This window comes from Homo sapiens, chromosome 8, assembly GCF_000001405.40.
Source record: "Homo sapiens chromosome 8, GRCh38.p14 Primary Assembly".
Lineage (NCBI taxonomy): Eukaryota > Metazoa > Chordata > Mammalia > Primates > Hominidae > Homo > Homo sapiens.
Window position 1 is genome coordinate 17869445 of NC_000008.11, and position 15808 is coordinate 17885252.

The window sequence follows — 15808 nt, forward strand, 5'->3', positions numbered from 1 at the left end:
TAGGTTTGTAAAATGTAGTTGCCATTGCCTGCATATGCCTGAACTTGGTTATTTTCCTGATAGCATAAAAGATCAGCCAGGAAACCCTTTAAGAATAATTTGAGGAAGAAATATGAATCCTAATTGTTATCCGAAAACCTTCGTTTGATACTGGCTCATAAGATCAAGAGACTCTTAGCATCAAAGTATGTAGAGTGGATGTCATTGGAAGAGAATTTCAGAGGCAATAAGGAAACATTCTGGAGAAATGCTGTACCACCAACATTCTCAATGGCAGAGATGATGATAATTACTGGAAAATATACTAACATCAATGACTCTGAGTAAAAAGGTATTTCTGAAGAACTGATATCTACATGTGAAAGCATTTTAAGAATGCAATGGGGCCGGGGCGGTGGCTCACGCCTGTAATCCCAGCACTTTGGGAGGCCGAGGCGGGCGGATCACGAGGTCAGGAGATAGAGACCATCCTGGCTAACACTGTGAAACCCCGTCTCTACTAAAAAATACAAAAAATTAGCCGGGCATGGTGGCGGGCACCTGTAGTCCCAGCTACTTGGGAGGCTGAGGCAGGAGAATGGCGTGAACCCAGAAGGCAGAGCTTGCAGTGAGCCGAGATTGCTCCACTGCACTCCAGCCTGGGCGACAGAGCGAGACTCCGTCGCAAAAAACAACAAAAAAACAAAAAAAAGAATACAATGTATTGGGTACATATTATCTTTTATATATGCTAAAGAATGATATATGATGACAAAAAATCTCTAAACATTAAAGATATACTTTAATGACTGTAAAAATTCTAGGCGATATAAGAGCATTATGTTTTTAAAATGATTAAAATAATTGCTACCTTCAAGTAATCTTTTTTTTCCCATTGTTTGGAAATAACAAAGACTATTCCTTTTTCAGAAACAGAACTCTTGTCAGGGGCACCAAATGTTATAAATCAAATTATTAGATCACATGTGTTCTATCCTCCTACTTTGATAAATAAGATATAACAATGACCTGTAAGGTCGGGTTAGAATTTAGAGCCTCACTTTCCTTGGAGTTTCAAGCCAGACCATGGAGGCACTGGGAAAGAGAGTCCCTGAATAGTCCTATCACCTAGGCCCCATCTCTGGTTGGCCTCTTCTCTCTTTCCATCCCCATCTCCATCACTTATAGCAAGGGGCTTTGGATCCACTTGTGGACATCCCAGGCTGCATATCCAAGTTCTATTCACACCCAAGTTGGGTGGATTACAAGGTCAGGAGATCGAGACCATCCTGGCCAACATGGTGAAACCCTGTCTCTATTAAAAATACAAAAATTAGCTGGGCATGGTGGCACGTGCCTGTAATCCCAGCTACTCAGGAGGCTGAGGCAGGAGAATTGCTTGAATCCGGGAGGCAGAGGTTGCAGTGAGCCGAGATCGCGCCACTGCACTCCAGCCTGGCTACAGAGTGAGACTCTGTCTCAAAAAAAAAAAGCCATTTTTTAGCCTCCCCTCAAGCTTAAGGGTGCACACACCAGGACGAGAACATCCTGAAGGAGTCCTATAAACAAACTCAAGGCTGTTGGGGCAGGGAATGCTGGATTCCTCAAGACTGGAGTCCCTTTAAGAGGTGATGCGGGCCTCTCTTGGGCTTGTTGATTTAGCACCACAATTTCCTTGCCCCAGGGAGCTCTCTCAAGGTAGTAAAGGTCACAGGAGAAAAGACTGTAGAGTGTATAAGAGCAGCAAGGCAGGCTAAGTCAACTGTCTTTAAAAATATTCTATTACAGACGAGATGCGGTGGTTCATACCTGTAATTCAAGCACTTTGGGAGGCTAAGGCACGCAGATGACTTGAAGCCAGGAGTTTGAGACCATCCTGGTCAGCATGGTGAGACCACCGTCTCTACTAAAAATACAAAAATTAGCTGGGTGTGGTGGTGTGCGCCTATAATCCCAGCTACTCAGGAGGCTGAGGCATGAGAATTGCTTGAGCCAAGAGTCAGCGGTTTTAGTGAGCCAAGGCTGTGCCACTGCACTCCAGCTTGGGCAACAGGCAAAAATCTGTCTCAAAAAAAAAAACAAAAAAAAAAAACTTCTATTATAACAGAGACATAAAGACTCAATTTTTTGGCTAACATTGAAATGTCTCTTTGTTCAATAAGTAAACAAATTATATTTACCATTTCTAAATCAATTTTATTGCCACTACTTCTAGTTGAGATTTATGTAGTGGGGATAAAGCTATTCTCAGAGGTAATTCATTAATTCATTAGCCGTAATGCTCTCATAATTAAAGAATGCAGAGACAAAAACACTGGCTATTGTCTGGATTGATGGGATACGTGGGTGGGGGCCCAGGAACTGAAAAACACGTTTTTTCTCCAACGAGATTAGCCAGCCTGAGTACCAAGTTGATATATGAAAAGGAACAGGTTTGTTGGCAAAGTTCCTCTGGGAAAATATGTACATCATAATAACTTAAAAAATAATACGTTTGAATTTCATATATTTAGAAAGAGCCAAGGGTTACTGCTCTGGGGTTTTCATAGTTTCAATAAGAAACCAGATAAATATCAATGTGCAAATGAAACAGAAGTTGGTATGGCAAATTTTATATATCTGGCATAAAACACTTAAAACTAGAATAATAGATATGTTGAAGGAAAGGAAGCGTTATGTAAATTTAGAGAGCACTGATCATAAGAAGGACATACAAAGAAAGTATAAGGTTTCTAGGATTACTCATCCTGTCTAATGTTTATCATTCTAGTGTCTCAAAGAACTTTATAACCATAAGCCTACTACTATAAATATAGAAACACCAATAGCTTTCCAGAACTTGGATGGAACAAAGGAACTTTTGTTTTATCTTAATTACTTTATTATTATTATTATTTGAGACAGAGTCTTGCTCTGTCACCCAGGCTGGAGTGGATTGGCGCAATCTTGGCTCACTGCAACCTCCGCCTCTTGGGTTCAAGCAATTCTCCTGCCTCAGCCTCCCAAGTGGCTGGGATTACAGTGCTGTGCCACCATGCCTGGCTAATTTTTGTATTTTTAGTAGAGATGGGGTTTCACCATGTTGGCCAGGCTGGTCTCGAAATCCTGGCCCCAAGGGGTCCACCCACCTCAGCATCCCAAAGTGCTGGGATTACAGGCATGAGCCACCATGCCCAGCTGTTTATTTTTAATGCAATTGCAGTGTAACTTAGCATGCTTTTTTGGGCATTACAGTTGCCTTTTATGAAGGATTCAGGATCAGACTTGAGTGGGACTGATGATAATCTCAGACTACAACAGAGGTAGGGAAGACAATGGATTGGAGCAAAAGAACATGGGAGATAGAAGCTGGGAAAAGTCGTTATCAAAACAATGATATTTTAGACAAATATTAAACTCTAAAGATAAGAATTTAAAAGTATATAGGGAGACATCCAGATGTCTGCTATTTACTTTGAAATATATATACAGAAAAGATGGATTGATGGACGGATTGAGTAATGGGCAAACGGATAGATACGTAACAAAAACAAGCAAAGTAAAATGTTAATGTAGGATACAGGTGGTAGGTTGAAACTTCTTTCAAATTGGTTGCAGCTTTGAAAAAATTTCAGCATTAAAGATGAGATGTATGTGGAAACATGGACATTTCATATATTATAGTGTTTTATTGGAAAAATAGCACCAATTGCCCAATTGTTCACCTCTCTCTCATAATATGTCTTCATAGCTCCTCCTATTGTTTACTTCCTTTTAAAAAAAAGTCTGAGCTGCTCCTGTGATTTGCTTTCACCAATAGAAGAAAAATGACTCCATGCCAATTCTGGGCCTAGATCTCAAGAGACTTATATACATCCACTCTTTTTTGTGGAACCCTGCCTGTGCTACAAAAACAAGTCCAGGCTAGCTAGCTGGAAGATGAGAGACCCTATGGAGCCAGGTTGAATCCTTCCATCCCAGAGCAGCAACTTCAGTGAGGAAGTTGATGGCAGACTCATAAGCAAGCCCAGCCATGATCAGCAGAGCCCAGCCCTGATCAGCAAAATCACCCAGCCAACCTGCAGATTTGTGAGAAGTAATAAATGGTTGTTGATTTTAAGCCACTAAGCTTTGGAAGAGGATTGTTACACGTTATTATTGTGACATTAGGTAACTGATACAGCATATATAATCTCCAGGAACTCAAGGCATCAAAAAGGAATAATTATGACATTATATATCCTTTTCAGAAGTAGAATATATATATATTCTATATATATCTATAGATACATATAGCGACTTATATTCTATATATCTATATATAGCTACATATATACTATGTATAGAATGTATATATATCTATAAATATATTTAGATATTTCTCATAAATATATATGTGAAAACAATTCCCCGCAACCCAATTCTAGCTTTTTTTTCTGTTTCTAATTTTAGGCAGCCACATTTTACATTTGGGATTATTGCCCAAAAGTTATCACTGCCATCTGCAAATCATAGCAATTATTGAATTAGTTCCATTGCCTATAATTTGGTTAAAAAAAAATTTTAGTGTTGTTTTTATTATATTTCAAATAAATCTGACATCATTCAAACCTTACCTTGAGTGGTCAAGAAGTGAAGATTTTTATTGCCCAGCCAATATTCACCATGTTTTTGGACAAAATTTCCAAAGCCATTTTCATAGTCTTTCCATCCTCTAAAAAAGGTAAAGTGGAAGCCGATTAGAGCAAACTCCATTTGTGGTACCAAAGCGACCACCACCCACCCCCTGCTACCACCACCTCCAATATTTTCTTGATTAGTTAATTCATTTTCAGTATTCTTCTTTAGAGAGATTGAAATTCTGTCTAATTAATAGGCTTCAGGATATGATCAAAATATTTGACTTATAAATCTCACATTTGCTGCTACATATAAAGTCTTACATCATAATTAGCACACCTGTTAAAGTTTTCACTGCCATCAGATCGTCTCTGAATTACAGTCCATCCTCCTCCATCGGACATGTCACAATAAACAGAAAATTCTGCTGGGCTCTGGAGAGGTTTGATTTTGTAAAATCCACTGAGCTTATACCCATCATTGAAAATCTCTGAACAATCTGTTTTTAAAACAAGGTAATGTAACATTCATTATGTGTCTTTTTCTCCCCCCGCCTTAGGGAGCCTCTGAATGAGACTACTCAGTATCACTGGAGACAGATAACACATGGTATAGAAATCAGCGTTTTAAAATTGCATCTTGTACATCTTCCAGTGGATATTAGGAAAGTTTTATTTCCTTTGCTAAAATTTGCCACCTGAATCCTTGATATAATCATCGAGGAAAAAAGGGGAGTGAAATAAGAATCTAGTTTTTTGTTTCTTTCTTCTTTTTTCTTTTACATTTTTTTTAAGAAATGGGGGCGTGTCACTATATTGCCCAGGCTGGTCTCGAACTCCTGGCTTCAAACAATCCTATCCTCCCACCACAGACTCCCAAAGGGCTGGGATTACAGGTGTGAGCTTAGTTTCTAATTTCTGAGTTTTGTAGAAAACAATCTTAAAAAAAACAAGTTATGAGTAGTCTGTTAATAACAGTATATTTAGGTGGAACTTACAGTTTTATCAGACGGAATAGTAAAATTTATCTCACCCATGAAGCTAAAATGAAAGCAGAAATGTTAACACCAAAGTTACTACAGGTTATCCTGACTTAGAGCATGATAAATCATTCTGGACATCTGAAAATGAACCCAAAATAGTAATCTTGTAAAAATCTTTATTATTATACTTTAAGTTCTAGGGTACATGTGCACAACATGCAGGTTTGTTACATATGTATATGTGTGCCATGTTGGTGTGCTGCACCCATAATCTTGTCAAAATCTTATAATCTCTTAGCCTTATTAGATTTTTTACTAACCCACTGAAGTTTCTAAAAGTCCATACATTCTTAGATGTTTTTGCTAAAAACTGCAAGCTTCTGCTATTCTTTTCATCCCTTAATTCTTTTTTGCTGTGGTATTTCTTTGAACACTGAAGCAAATGTAGCTACCCCTTTGTCACCAAAAAGTGATATCTCTTTCTTTCTTTCTTTCTTTCTTTCTTTCTTTCTTTCTTTCTTTCTTTCTTTCTCTTTCTTTCTTTCTTTCTTTCTTTCTTTCTTTCTTTCTTTCTTTCTTTCTTTCTTTCTTTCTTTCTTTCTTTCTTTCTTTTCCTTTGAGACAGAGTCTTGCTCTTTCGCCCAGGCTGGAGTGCAATGGTGCTATTTCGGCTCACTACAACCTCCGCCTCCCGGGTTCAAGCGATTCTCCTGCCTCAGCCTCCTGAGTAGCTGGGATCACAGCCACGCACCTACACACCTGGCTAATTTTTTTGTATTTTTAGTACAGACTGGATTTTGCCATGTTGGCCAGACTGGTCTCAAACTCCTGAGGTCAGGCCATCCGCCCGCCTCGGCCTCCAAAGTGAAAGGATGACAGGTGTGAGCCACCACACCCTGCCAAATGGTGATGTCTGTTCCTTAAGCCACTTGAGGGTGATGTAAATTAATACCCATTGGGTCTCACCTAGGTTGATCTGTACAGACTTAGAGAACGTGGCAAATGGGGACCTCTCTATTGTTCAGATGCATAGAAAGCTAGGTTTTAGGATGATTGAAGTAGTGGTCACTATAAACAATCTCAAGAAGAGCCGTCTACAAACATTTGAATAAAAATACTATAACATCATCAACTTTCACTTTTACCCTTATCGCTTTGTTAATTTCCTTAACAAAAAATTTTTTTCTTATTGGATAATTCCATTCTTGTAGCATATTTTAAAGATGTTTAAAGATTTAAAAACAAATGTTCATTGTTTTGATACTAGATTGCCAAATTTACAACTCTCTTGTTTTGTTACAGATAAAATATATTGCACATTAAGTAGGTGAATAGGCCATAGACATCAGAAGAGAAAAGAAAAGAAAGAACCTTAGTCATTTTATAAAGCCTTCACATGGTTGGGACCAACCATATACTCCTGCTTTGGTGAGATGTTTACCTTTGTAATGATTTAGGCTTTATTCATATATTTATTTTCAAGATTCAGAAGCACATGCGTTCATATACATGCTAAATTATAAAAAGGATCCTGTTTTGGCAATTAAACAAGAAGCAAAACAATGAGAAAATGATTATCTAAAATTAGTTCAATGTTGTTATAAAGTTTACATCTTGTAGTCAAGTATATAGTACAACACTTTTATTAAAGTAAGCAGATTTTAGCCCTATTTGGAAAGAAGCTTTTTGCTTACATTAAATTTCCTACCAAAGAGCTGAATACTAAAGACTCACAAGGATCAAACTATTTTCCAGGCAAATATGGAAGTGATTAGCTATAACATTTGCCTCTGGAAAACTTAGTGAATATAGAGGTTTCAGCCAAAATTTTCTACTTGTTATTATTTTATGCTAACTGCGAGTTTGTTATTTCTTTGGTCTTGTTTTTGAAATTTTCCTTCTCCCCAGAAGAAAATGCCAAACACAACTTAAGAAAAGCTTTTAACTGAAATAAACAGTAACACAACAACAAAACCCCCAACAAATAAATAAACATTAAAAAAGCAAAAAAGCACCAGTAGTTCAATTTGCTTATAGCTAACAAGTTAAGAAGCCTGCTTTGGGAAATGAGACTTAAATCGTAACAGCAGAAAGTATGAAAAATGTAGAATTTAAAATATGAACTTGATATTTAAAACGATGATTTTCAAAATGTTCTGACCCACTCAACTCCCTGGAGAATAGGTAGAAGAAAGGCAAGGTTAAAGAGCTTTGTGTTCATGGGAGTTTTTTTTTTAAAAAAGAAAAAGAATTTTGAATATTTACATAATACTAGACAGAGGCCAAGGCATCCTGCCTTCTGTTTTGACAAACACTGTATTAAACTGGGTTATGTGTGTCCTTTCTCTGATCATGCAGAAAGTAAGCCATGTTGGAAGGCTGAATGTTTAAGCTCATAAAGTGACATGACAGCCTGCCAAATGGGCTTTTTCCTCTTGTCTCAGGATGGTGGCTGAGGCACAAAGCTGAGAACCAAAGGCACAAAGTACCCCACATTCTAAACACAAAAAGAGGTAAGCAACAGAGGTCAGCTGCCACTCCCCAGAGCATGTTGGGATATGCGAGAACTGGCCCTGCTACCGCCATCTTCACCCCCAGGCAACATAAGGAAAAAAAAAAAAGGATAAAGGAAGGTGGGTACATAGTAGGTGTATGTATTTGTTGGGGTACATGTGATATTTTGATAAAGGCATGCAATGCATAATAATCACATCATGGAAAATGAGGTGTCCATCCCTTCAAGCATTTATCCTTTGTGTTACAAACAATCCAATTTTGCTCTCTTTGTTATTTTTAAATGTGCAATTAAATTAATATTGAGAGAATGCGATACTCTTGTAGGGTAGAGTGAGTAGGCTTTCTTCCTTGAAAACAAGGCTATAATAATGTCCATAGATAGCTGGCATTCACTGAGTACTTCTTTTGCTCTACGATGTTAAATATATTAACTCATTTTATTTTGTTTATTTATTTATTTGAGACGGGTCTCACTCTGTTACCCAGGCAGGTTGTAGTGCAGTGGCACAGTCAGCTCACTGCAGCCCCAAACTTCTGCAATCCTCCTGCCTCAGCCTCCTGAGTAGCTGGGCCTGCATGCATGCACCACCAAGCCTGGCAATTTTTTTTTTATAGTGTTAGAGTCTCACTATGTTGCCCAGGCTGTTCTTGAAATCCTGGCCTCAAGTGTTCCTCCCACCTCGGCCTCTCAAAGTGCAGGGATTACAGGCATGATTCATGGCACCTGGCCAAAATATTTTCACTCATTTGAATATATTTTAATCCTTACAACAAATACACAGCATTCTTATTCTCATTCTTCAGATGGGGAATATGGGACACACAGAGGTTATGTAATGTCCCCAAAGGCCACAGCTAGCAAGATGGGCAGCTGGACTTTGAAATCAAACTCCAGAGTCAACACCTTAGGCCACTTTGTAACCTGCCTCAAGACACTCACATGCAGACTGGGGGCTCCTGAAGAAGGGGAGATGCTGGAGCCAGTGGTGTTGTCAAGTGAACGGCGGTGGTGACGCCAGATTTTTGTTCTTGCCACCAGTTAATGTGAATTTGACACAGTAACCTTTTAATTCATAATCCGCTAGCACCCAAATTCTTTAAAAAAAGATACAGCTTAATAGTATGCTGTAGAAAATCATGTGCCTAGTGCATTGTTTGCACAAATTGCTAGGTTGTATGTAATTGGGTGTTTTCTACCATCAGATAAATTAGAATTCAGAAAATAACTAATTTAGTAATAATAAAGTAACTTGTAAATAAGAAGAAAAGATTTATATTTCTACAGATTATATGTATGAATATTTAATTGTTTTCAATTTAAGGACACCAAAAACATAAACTTTGAGGTGAACAAGTTCTTATATATTTTATACCATATTATATATATATAAAACACTATACTTTATTGGAATTTTTATGTTATATATTTTATTTATTGAGTATCTGTTCTTAGTAGCCTCTCCAGTACTATCTCCCTATATGCTAAAATATAAAGAACAATTGAACTGTGTTTATATTTTATTTCCCCTTTTTCTTCTTCATGCTTGTAATTAATATATGAAAAATATTGTTTTAATCTACTGAATTCTGATTTTTTTGGCTTTTATATCAAAAAACAGTCATCTAGAATTCCTATCATCTGTCTTATTATTATAACAGTATTATATTTATAATAATTATAATGTTTTTTCTGAAGCATCTCTATATGACTCTTCTAACTCCTGCTTGTACAGTTAATCCTGCTCTGACCTTGGCATCGTAATTTCCAAGTAACTGATTTCTTGCCTTATTCCTTGGTGACCCCTTACTTCCCAAAGTCTGCTCCCCAGCAGTGTCAACACAAGGACTGGATCTTCAGCTCTTGATATGATTTGGATGTGTGTCCCCACCAAATCTCATGTTGAGTTGTAGTTCCCAGTGTGGGAGGGAAGGCCTAGTGGGAGGCGATTGGCTCATGGGGGTGGAGTTGTCATGAATGTTTTAGCACCATCTCTCTTGGTACTCTACAGTGAGTGGTGAGTTCTCATGAGATCTGGTTTTTGAAACAGTGTCGCACCTCCTCCCTCTCTTTCTCCTGTTCCCACCATGTGAGATGTGCCTGCTTCTGCTTTGCCGTCTGCCATGATTGTAAGTTCCCTGAGGCCTCCCCAGAAGCAGATGCTGCTATGCTTCCTTTACAGCCTGCAGAACCATGAGCCAATTAAACCTCTTTTCTTTATAAACGACCCAGCCTCATTCATTTCGTTATAGCGGTATGAGAACGGACTAATACAGCACTTAAGCCTCAGTCTTCCCATGACTGGTTGTAGAGGCCTGGGAACAAACATCTGATTAGCTGCCCCCTGCCATGATTGACCCTTGAGTCTGTGCCAATAACCTGCTCAGAATGTGTTCAAATAGAAACCCCAAGTCTTGGGCTTGGTTTGAAATTTGGAGTAATGATGATCCACTGGCATCTACGAGTTCCTCGCCCTTGAGATCAGCTTTGTATGTTCTTTTGGGATCACTTATCTGTATGCTCATCCCTTAAACGATAGTCCGTTTGCTTCCCAAGCCCATTTTTACCCGAACTGTCCCTGGTTCCTCTTGGCTCCAGAGGCACTGGCCATCTTCAGGCTATAGCCATCCCCACTACTGCAGACCACTGGCTCTGGCCTCTTTCTGATCTCTAAGGGCCAGAGGGAGGGCAGTTGGATCAAGATGCTGGCCATAAGAGAAGCAGGAGCCCAGGGCGAGGAGTCTGAGCAGAGGGAGATAAGGATCTTGGTAGAAAAAAAGGGAGCATTTTAAGAGTCTCATGCGCTACAGTGTGAGCCAGCCAGGTGCCCTGAAGCATTTTATGGAAGCATAGACTCTCACAACTCCTATATCCTACACTTGTATGATTAGAAGCAGAAAATAAACATGTTTCTATTCCCATAAGATTGGCAACTCTTTGACCTCTACAGTCTTTCAATTCTAGTCAAATAGGTGTCCGAATTTATATTTGCTTATCTTGCTATTCCTCTCCCTATGAACTACCTTCCTTTCATTCCTGAATATGAGGATCTACTATGTTTCAGGCACTCTAATAGCCAACAGGGAGATAAAAGTACATTAAATATCATTCTAGACCTCACAGAGTGCCCAGTTAATTGACCTCAATAGACTCATAAACAGAAATTACAATGTAGCATGGTAGTGCTAGAATAGACATATGGACAAAGTGCTTTCGCTAGCATTCTTTTTGTTTCTGACAATCGTCGTTTACTCTAAAAGATACCTTTTACTTCTGGAGGAATTCAAGTGAACAGTTTTCCATAGAGAATAATGATTTGTGCAGCAATGTGTGTAATGTGTTGCCAGTTTAAAATCATTTAGTTTCTGGGGAGAAATACCTCATTGAAAGGAACATTATGAAATCAGAAAATATACATATAAAAAACTACTCTTTTATTTTCCTTAGTAATTCTGGTTCTTTTTCCTTTTTCTGCTCCTTTATTTTTTACCTTATTTGCCACCCTAATGCACATTAGGATTTCAGAAGGGAAAACTGCATACATGCAACAAGGAAAGATACACAAACACAAAGCTCAAATGCAAAAATTCCCAATTGTAATCTGCCATGTGTACACGGATTTTTTTTTTTTTTTTGAGACAGAGTCTTATTGTGTTGCCCAGGCTGGAGTGCAGTGGCACGATCTTGGCTCACTGCAACCTGCGACTCCTGGGTTCAAGTGATTCTCCTGCCTCAGCCTCCCAGGTAGCTGGGACTACAGGCACCTGCCACCACGCCCAGCTAATTTTTGTATTTTTAGTAGAGATGGGGTTTCACCATATTGGCCAGGCTGGTCTAGATCTCCTGACCTTGTAATCCGCCCACCTAGGCCTCCCAACGTGCTGGGATTACAGGCGTGAGCCACCGCACTTGGCTGTGTCCATCAGTATTTAAACAATCTATTGTCCTGATTTCTTATTAAATGATATAAATTCTCAGATATTTAGCATTCACATTAAATGCCCTGGCAGAGATAGAAAAAAGTAAAGTGTCGGCTGGGCACGGTGGCTCACGCCTGTAATCCCAGCACTTTGGGAGGCCGAGGCAGGCGAATCACAAGGTCAGGTGATCGAGACCATCCTGGCTAACATGGTGAAACCCTGCCTCTACTAAAAATACAAAAAAAGTAGCCGGGCCTGGTGGTGGGCACCTGTAGTCCCAGCTACTCGGGAGACTGAGGCAGGAGAATGGTGTGAACCTGGTAGACGGAGCTTGCAGTGAGCCAAAATTGCACCACTGCACTCCTGCCTGGGCGACAGAGCAAGACTCCGCCTCAAAAAAAAAAAAAAAAGTAAAGTGTGAAAGAAGACATTTACAATAGATATAATGCTTCATATTGCTTGTTACTGAAATAGGAAAAGCCTGAAATAACTAGCACCATCACTGTACATGGGTGCATAATGTAAGTTATAGAAACACTTAAGAAAAGTCCATTCTGACCTGCATACTGCCTCTTGCTTCCAAGATCAATGACAGTATTCTCATCTCCTTTATCAAGGAACTGGACTTCATTCTCCTGCAAAAGCTGCTTGATCTTGACCTGTTGCTGTTTGACCCGGGTCTCAAGCAGGCGCACCTGGGCTCTGAGCCGCATCTGCTCCTGGGCACAGTCCTCGAGCGCCTGCAAAACAGGTGAGATGAGATGAGTATGCACCTCATTTTCATGGAAAACAAGTGCTTTTTAAACATTTGGATAAATCAGTGATTCCATTTTGTCTCCAGTTCCCATTTCAGAATATTATTCCAAAGAGAAAGTGGCTTGAAAAGTTCTAATACTGCCTACTATTTGAAGAATTGGAAATTATGGCTTATGCGAAAACTCCTGGACTCAAAAGATCAAATAATATAAAATAATTGGAATCGCTATGCTAGGAGCTTTATAGTTGTCTCCTTTGATCCTCATAACAATTCCATGCGGTAGGAAAGGGCTCAGTCTTGATGCCCAGTGGGTAAGCGGAGGTGGGATTCAAATTCAGTTCAAGGACTGTGCTCTCAATCTCTATATGACATTGCTTATGTGTTTTCTAAACAGTAATGTGGTTTATAGAAGTTAATTGTACTGTTGGCATGTAAATCTCCATAATAAATGAGGTTTTTGAATGGCTGTCTGGTATAAATACTTTTAAATATGTATATTTAATGTATATTATATATTATATATATTATATATGCATATAAATAATATATAATATATATAATATATAATATATTAAACAATATATAATATATAGTATATAATATATTAAACAATATATAATATATCATATATAATATATTAAATAATATATAATATATATCATATATAATATATTAAATAATATATAATATATCTCATATATAATATATTAAATAATATATAATATATCTCATATATAATATATTAAATAATATATAATATATATCATATATAATATATTAAATATATAATATATATCATATGTAATATATTAAATATATAATATATATCATATGTAATATATTAAATATATAATATATATCATATGTAATATATTAAATATATAATATATATCATATGTAATATATTAAATAATATATATCATATATAATATATTAAATAATATATAATATATATCATATATAATATATTAAATAATATATAATATATATCATATATAATATATTAAATAATATATAATATATATCATATATAATATATTAAATAATATATAATATATATCATATATAATATATTAAATAATATATCATATATATCATATATAATATATTAAATAACATATAATAATATATAATATATTAAATAATATATAATATAATAATAATATATAATATATAAAATAATATACAATATAATAATAATATATAATATATATTACAAAATATATAATATGAATATATATGAATATAAATGAATAGATATTATATAATATATAAATATAAATAATATATAATATATTAAATATATTTATATATAATATAATGTAATATAATTGTATTTATTATATTATAGTCTACTTTATATAATATATTATATTTATACATAATATACGTATATATAAAATTACATAATGGATTTATATAGTATATATTATATCAAATACATATGCATATATAATACATTTATATTTATATAGTCTATAATATATATATATTTTTTATATATATATATATGTAGTACATCTCCCCTCCCTCCCATCTCTAGGTCCAAGTCATGGAACCTCTCCCAGCCATTTTTCTAGGATGGTTTCTCCCTTTTCCTTCCCCTTCCCCTTTCCCTTCCTCTTCCCTTACGTTTCCTTTCTCAGAACCTCTCCCAGATATCTTTTCTAGGATGATTTCTTTCTCCTCTTTTCTTTTTCTTTTCTTTTGTTCTTTTCCTCTCTTTCTCCTTCCCTCCTTCCCTCCCTTCCTTCCTTCCTTTCTTTTCTTTCCTTTCTTCCCATCCCTAGGTCCAAGTCACAGAACCTCTCCCAGCCATTTTTCTAAAATGATTTCTTTCTCCTCTTCTTTTTCTTTTCTTTTGTTCTTTTCCTTTCTTTCTCCTTCCCTCCCTCCCTCCCTTCCTTCTTTTCTTTTCTTTCTTTCCTTTCTTCCCATCCCTAGGTCCAAGTCACAGAACCTCTCCCAGCCATTTTTCTAGGATGATTCCTTCTCTCTCTCTCTCTCTTTCTTTCAACAGAGTCTTGCTCTGTTGCCCAGGCTGGAGTGCAGTGGTGCGATCTCGGCTCCCTGCAACCTCTGCCTCTCTGGTTCAAGCGATTCTTGTGCTTCATCCTGGCAAGTAGCTGGGACTATACAGGTTGTGTGCCATAACACCCAGCTAATTTTTGTATTTTTAGTAGAGATGGGGTTTTGCCATGTTGCCCAGTCTGGTCTCAAACTTCTGGCTTCAAGCGATCCACCCACCTCGGCCCCTCAAAGTGCTGGGATTACAGGCGTGAGCCACTGCACCAGGCCTCTCTAGGATTACTTCTTATTTGTTCTTGTTACTCTATCCCTAACACTCAGATTTATCCCTTCTGAGATAGTTATTTGCTTAGCACCTTGAGTCACATAGGCTAAAAAATGAACAGCAAGAACATTTTATGGTGTCTGGGTCCTGAGTTGTTTTACAACAGTGGGGGATCGGTTGTGATATTGTTAAACATAGTGCACTATGCAATTTTAAAATAATTGAAGACATCACAGGTCAAGTATGCCCAATCTTTATGAGATTGCATACGCATATTTAGTAAGCTTATTTAAAACCTAGGAGTTTTCTTTCTCCAAGAACTTTGAATGAATGTTTTGTCTTTTTTATTCACAAATGAAGGACAACACAAGTTCGATGTAATTACTTTCAAATAATCTGGTTAGTTTTACACTTTTCAATATTGAAAAGCTCAAGGTTAATTTTAATTACTATGGACAGTTTCAAATTTCTAATATTCCAACCAAATAACTCCAGTGAATTTTTAAAAATTACTTATTTATTATGAATACTTTTTATTTAAAAAAATGTAAAGCACTTTTTTTTTTTTTGAGATGGAGTCTCACTCTGTCGCCCAGGCTGGAGTGAAGTGGCATGATCTCAGTTCACTGCAATCTCCGCCTCCTGGGTTCAAGGGATTCTCCTGCCTCAGCCTCACGAGTAGCTAGGACTACAGATGCGTGCCATCACGCCCGGCTAATTTTTTGTATTTTTTTTAGTAAAGATGGGGTTTCACCATATTGGC

General features: G+C 37.1%; 1 protein-coding gene across 5 annotated transcripts in view; it reads right to left on the reverse strand.

The window, feature by feature from the left end:
- Positions 1 to 15808, reverse strand: part of FGL1 (fibrinogen like 1) — a 31150-nt gene that overhangs the window by 5056 nt on the left and 10286 nt on the right. For all 5 annotated transcript variants that reach the window (XM_047421577.1, NM_004467.4, NM_201552.1 and 2 more), the window contains 3 exons: positions 12555 to 12735; positions 4918 to 5077; positions 4575 to 4672 (listed from right to left, as the gene is read on the reverse strand). In XM_047421577.1, coding sequence (XP_047277533.1) covers positions 4575 to 4672; positions 4918 to 5077; positions 12555 to 12708 — 412 coding nt within the window. In that variant the 5' untranslated portion in view covers positions 12709 to 12735. The remainder of the gene's footprint in view (positions 1 to 4574; positions 4673 to 4917; positions 5078 to 12554; positions 12736 to 15808) is intronic.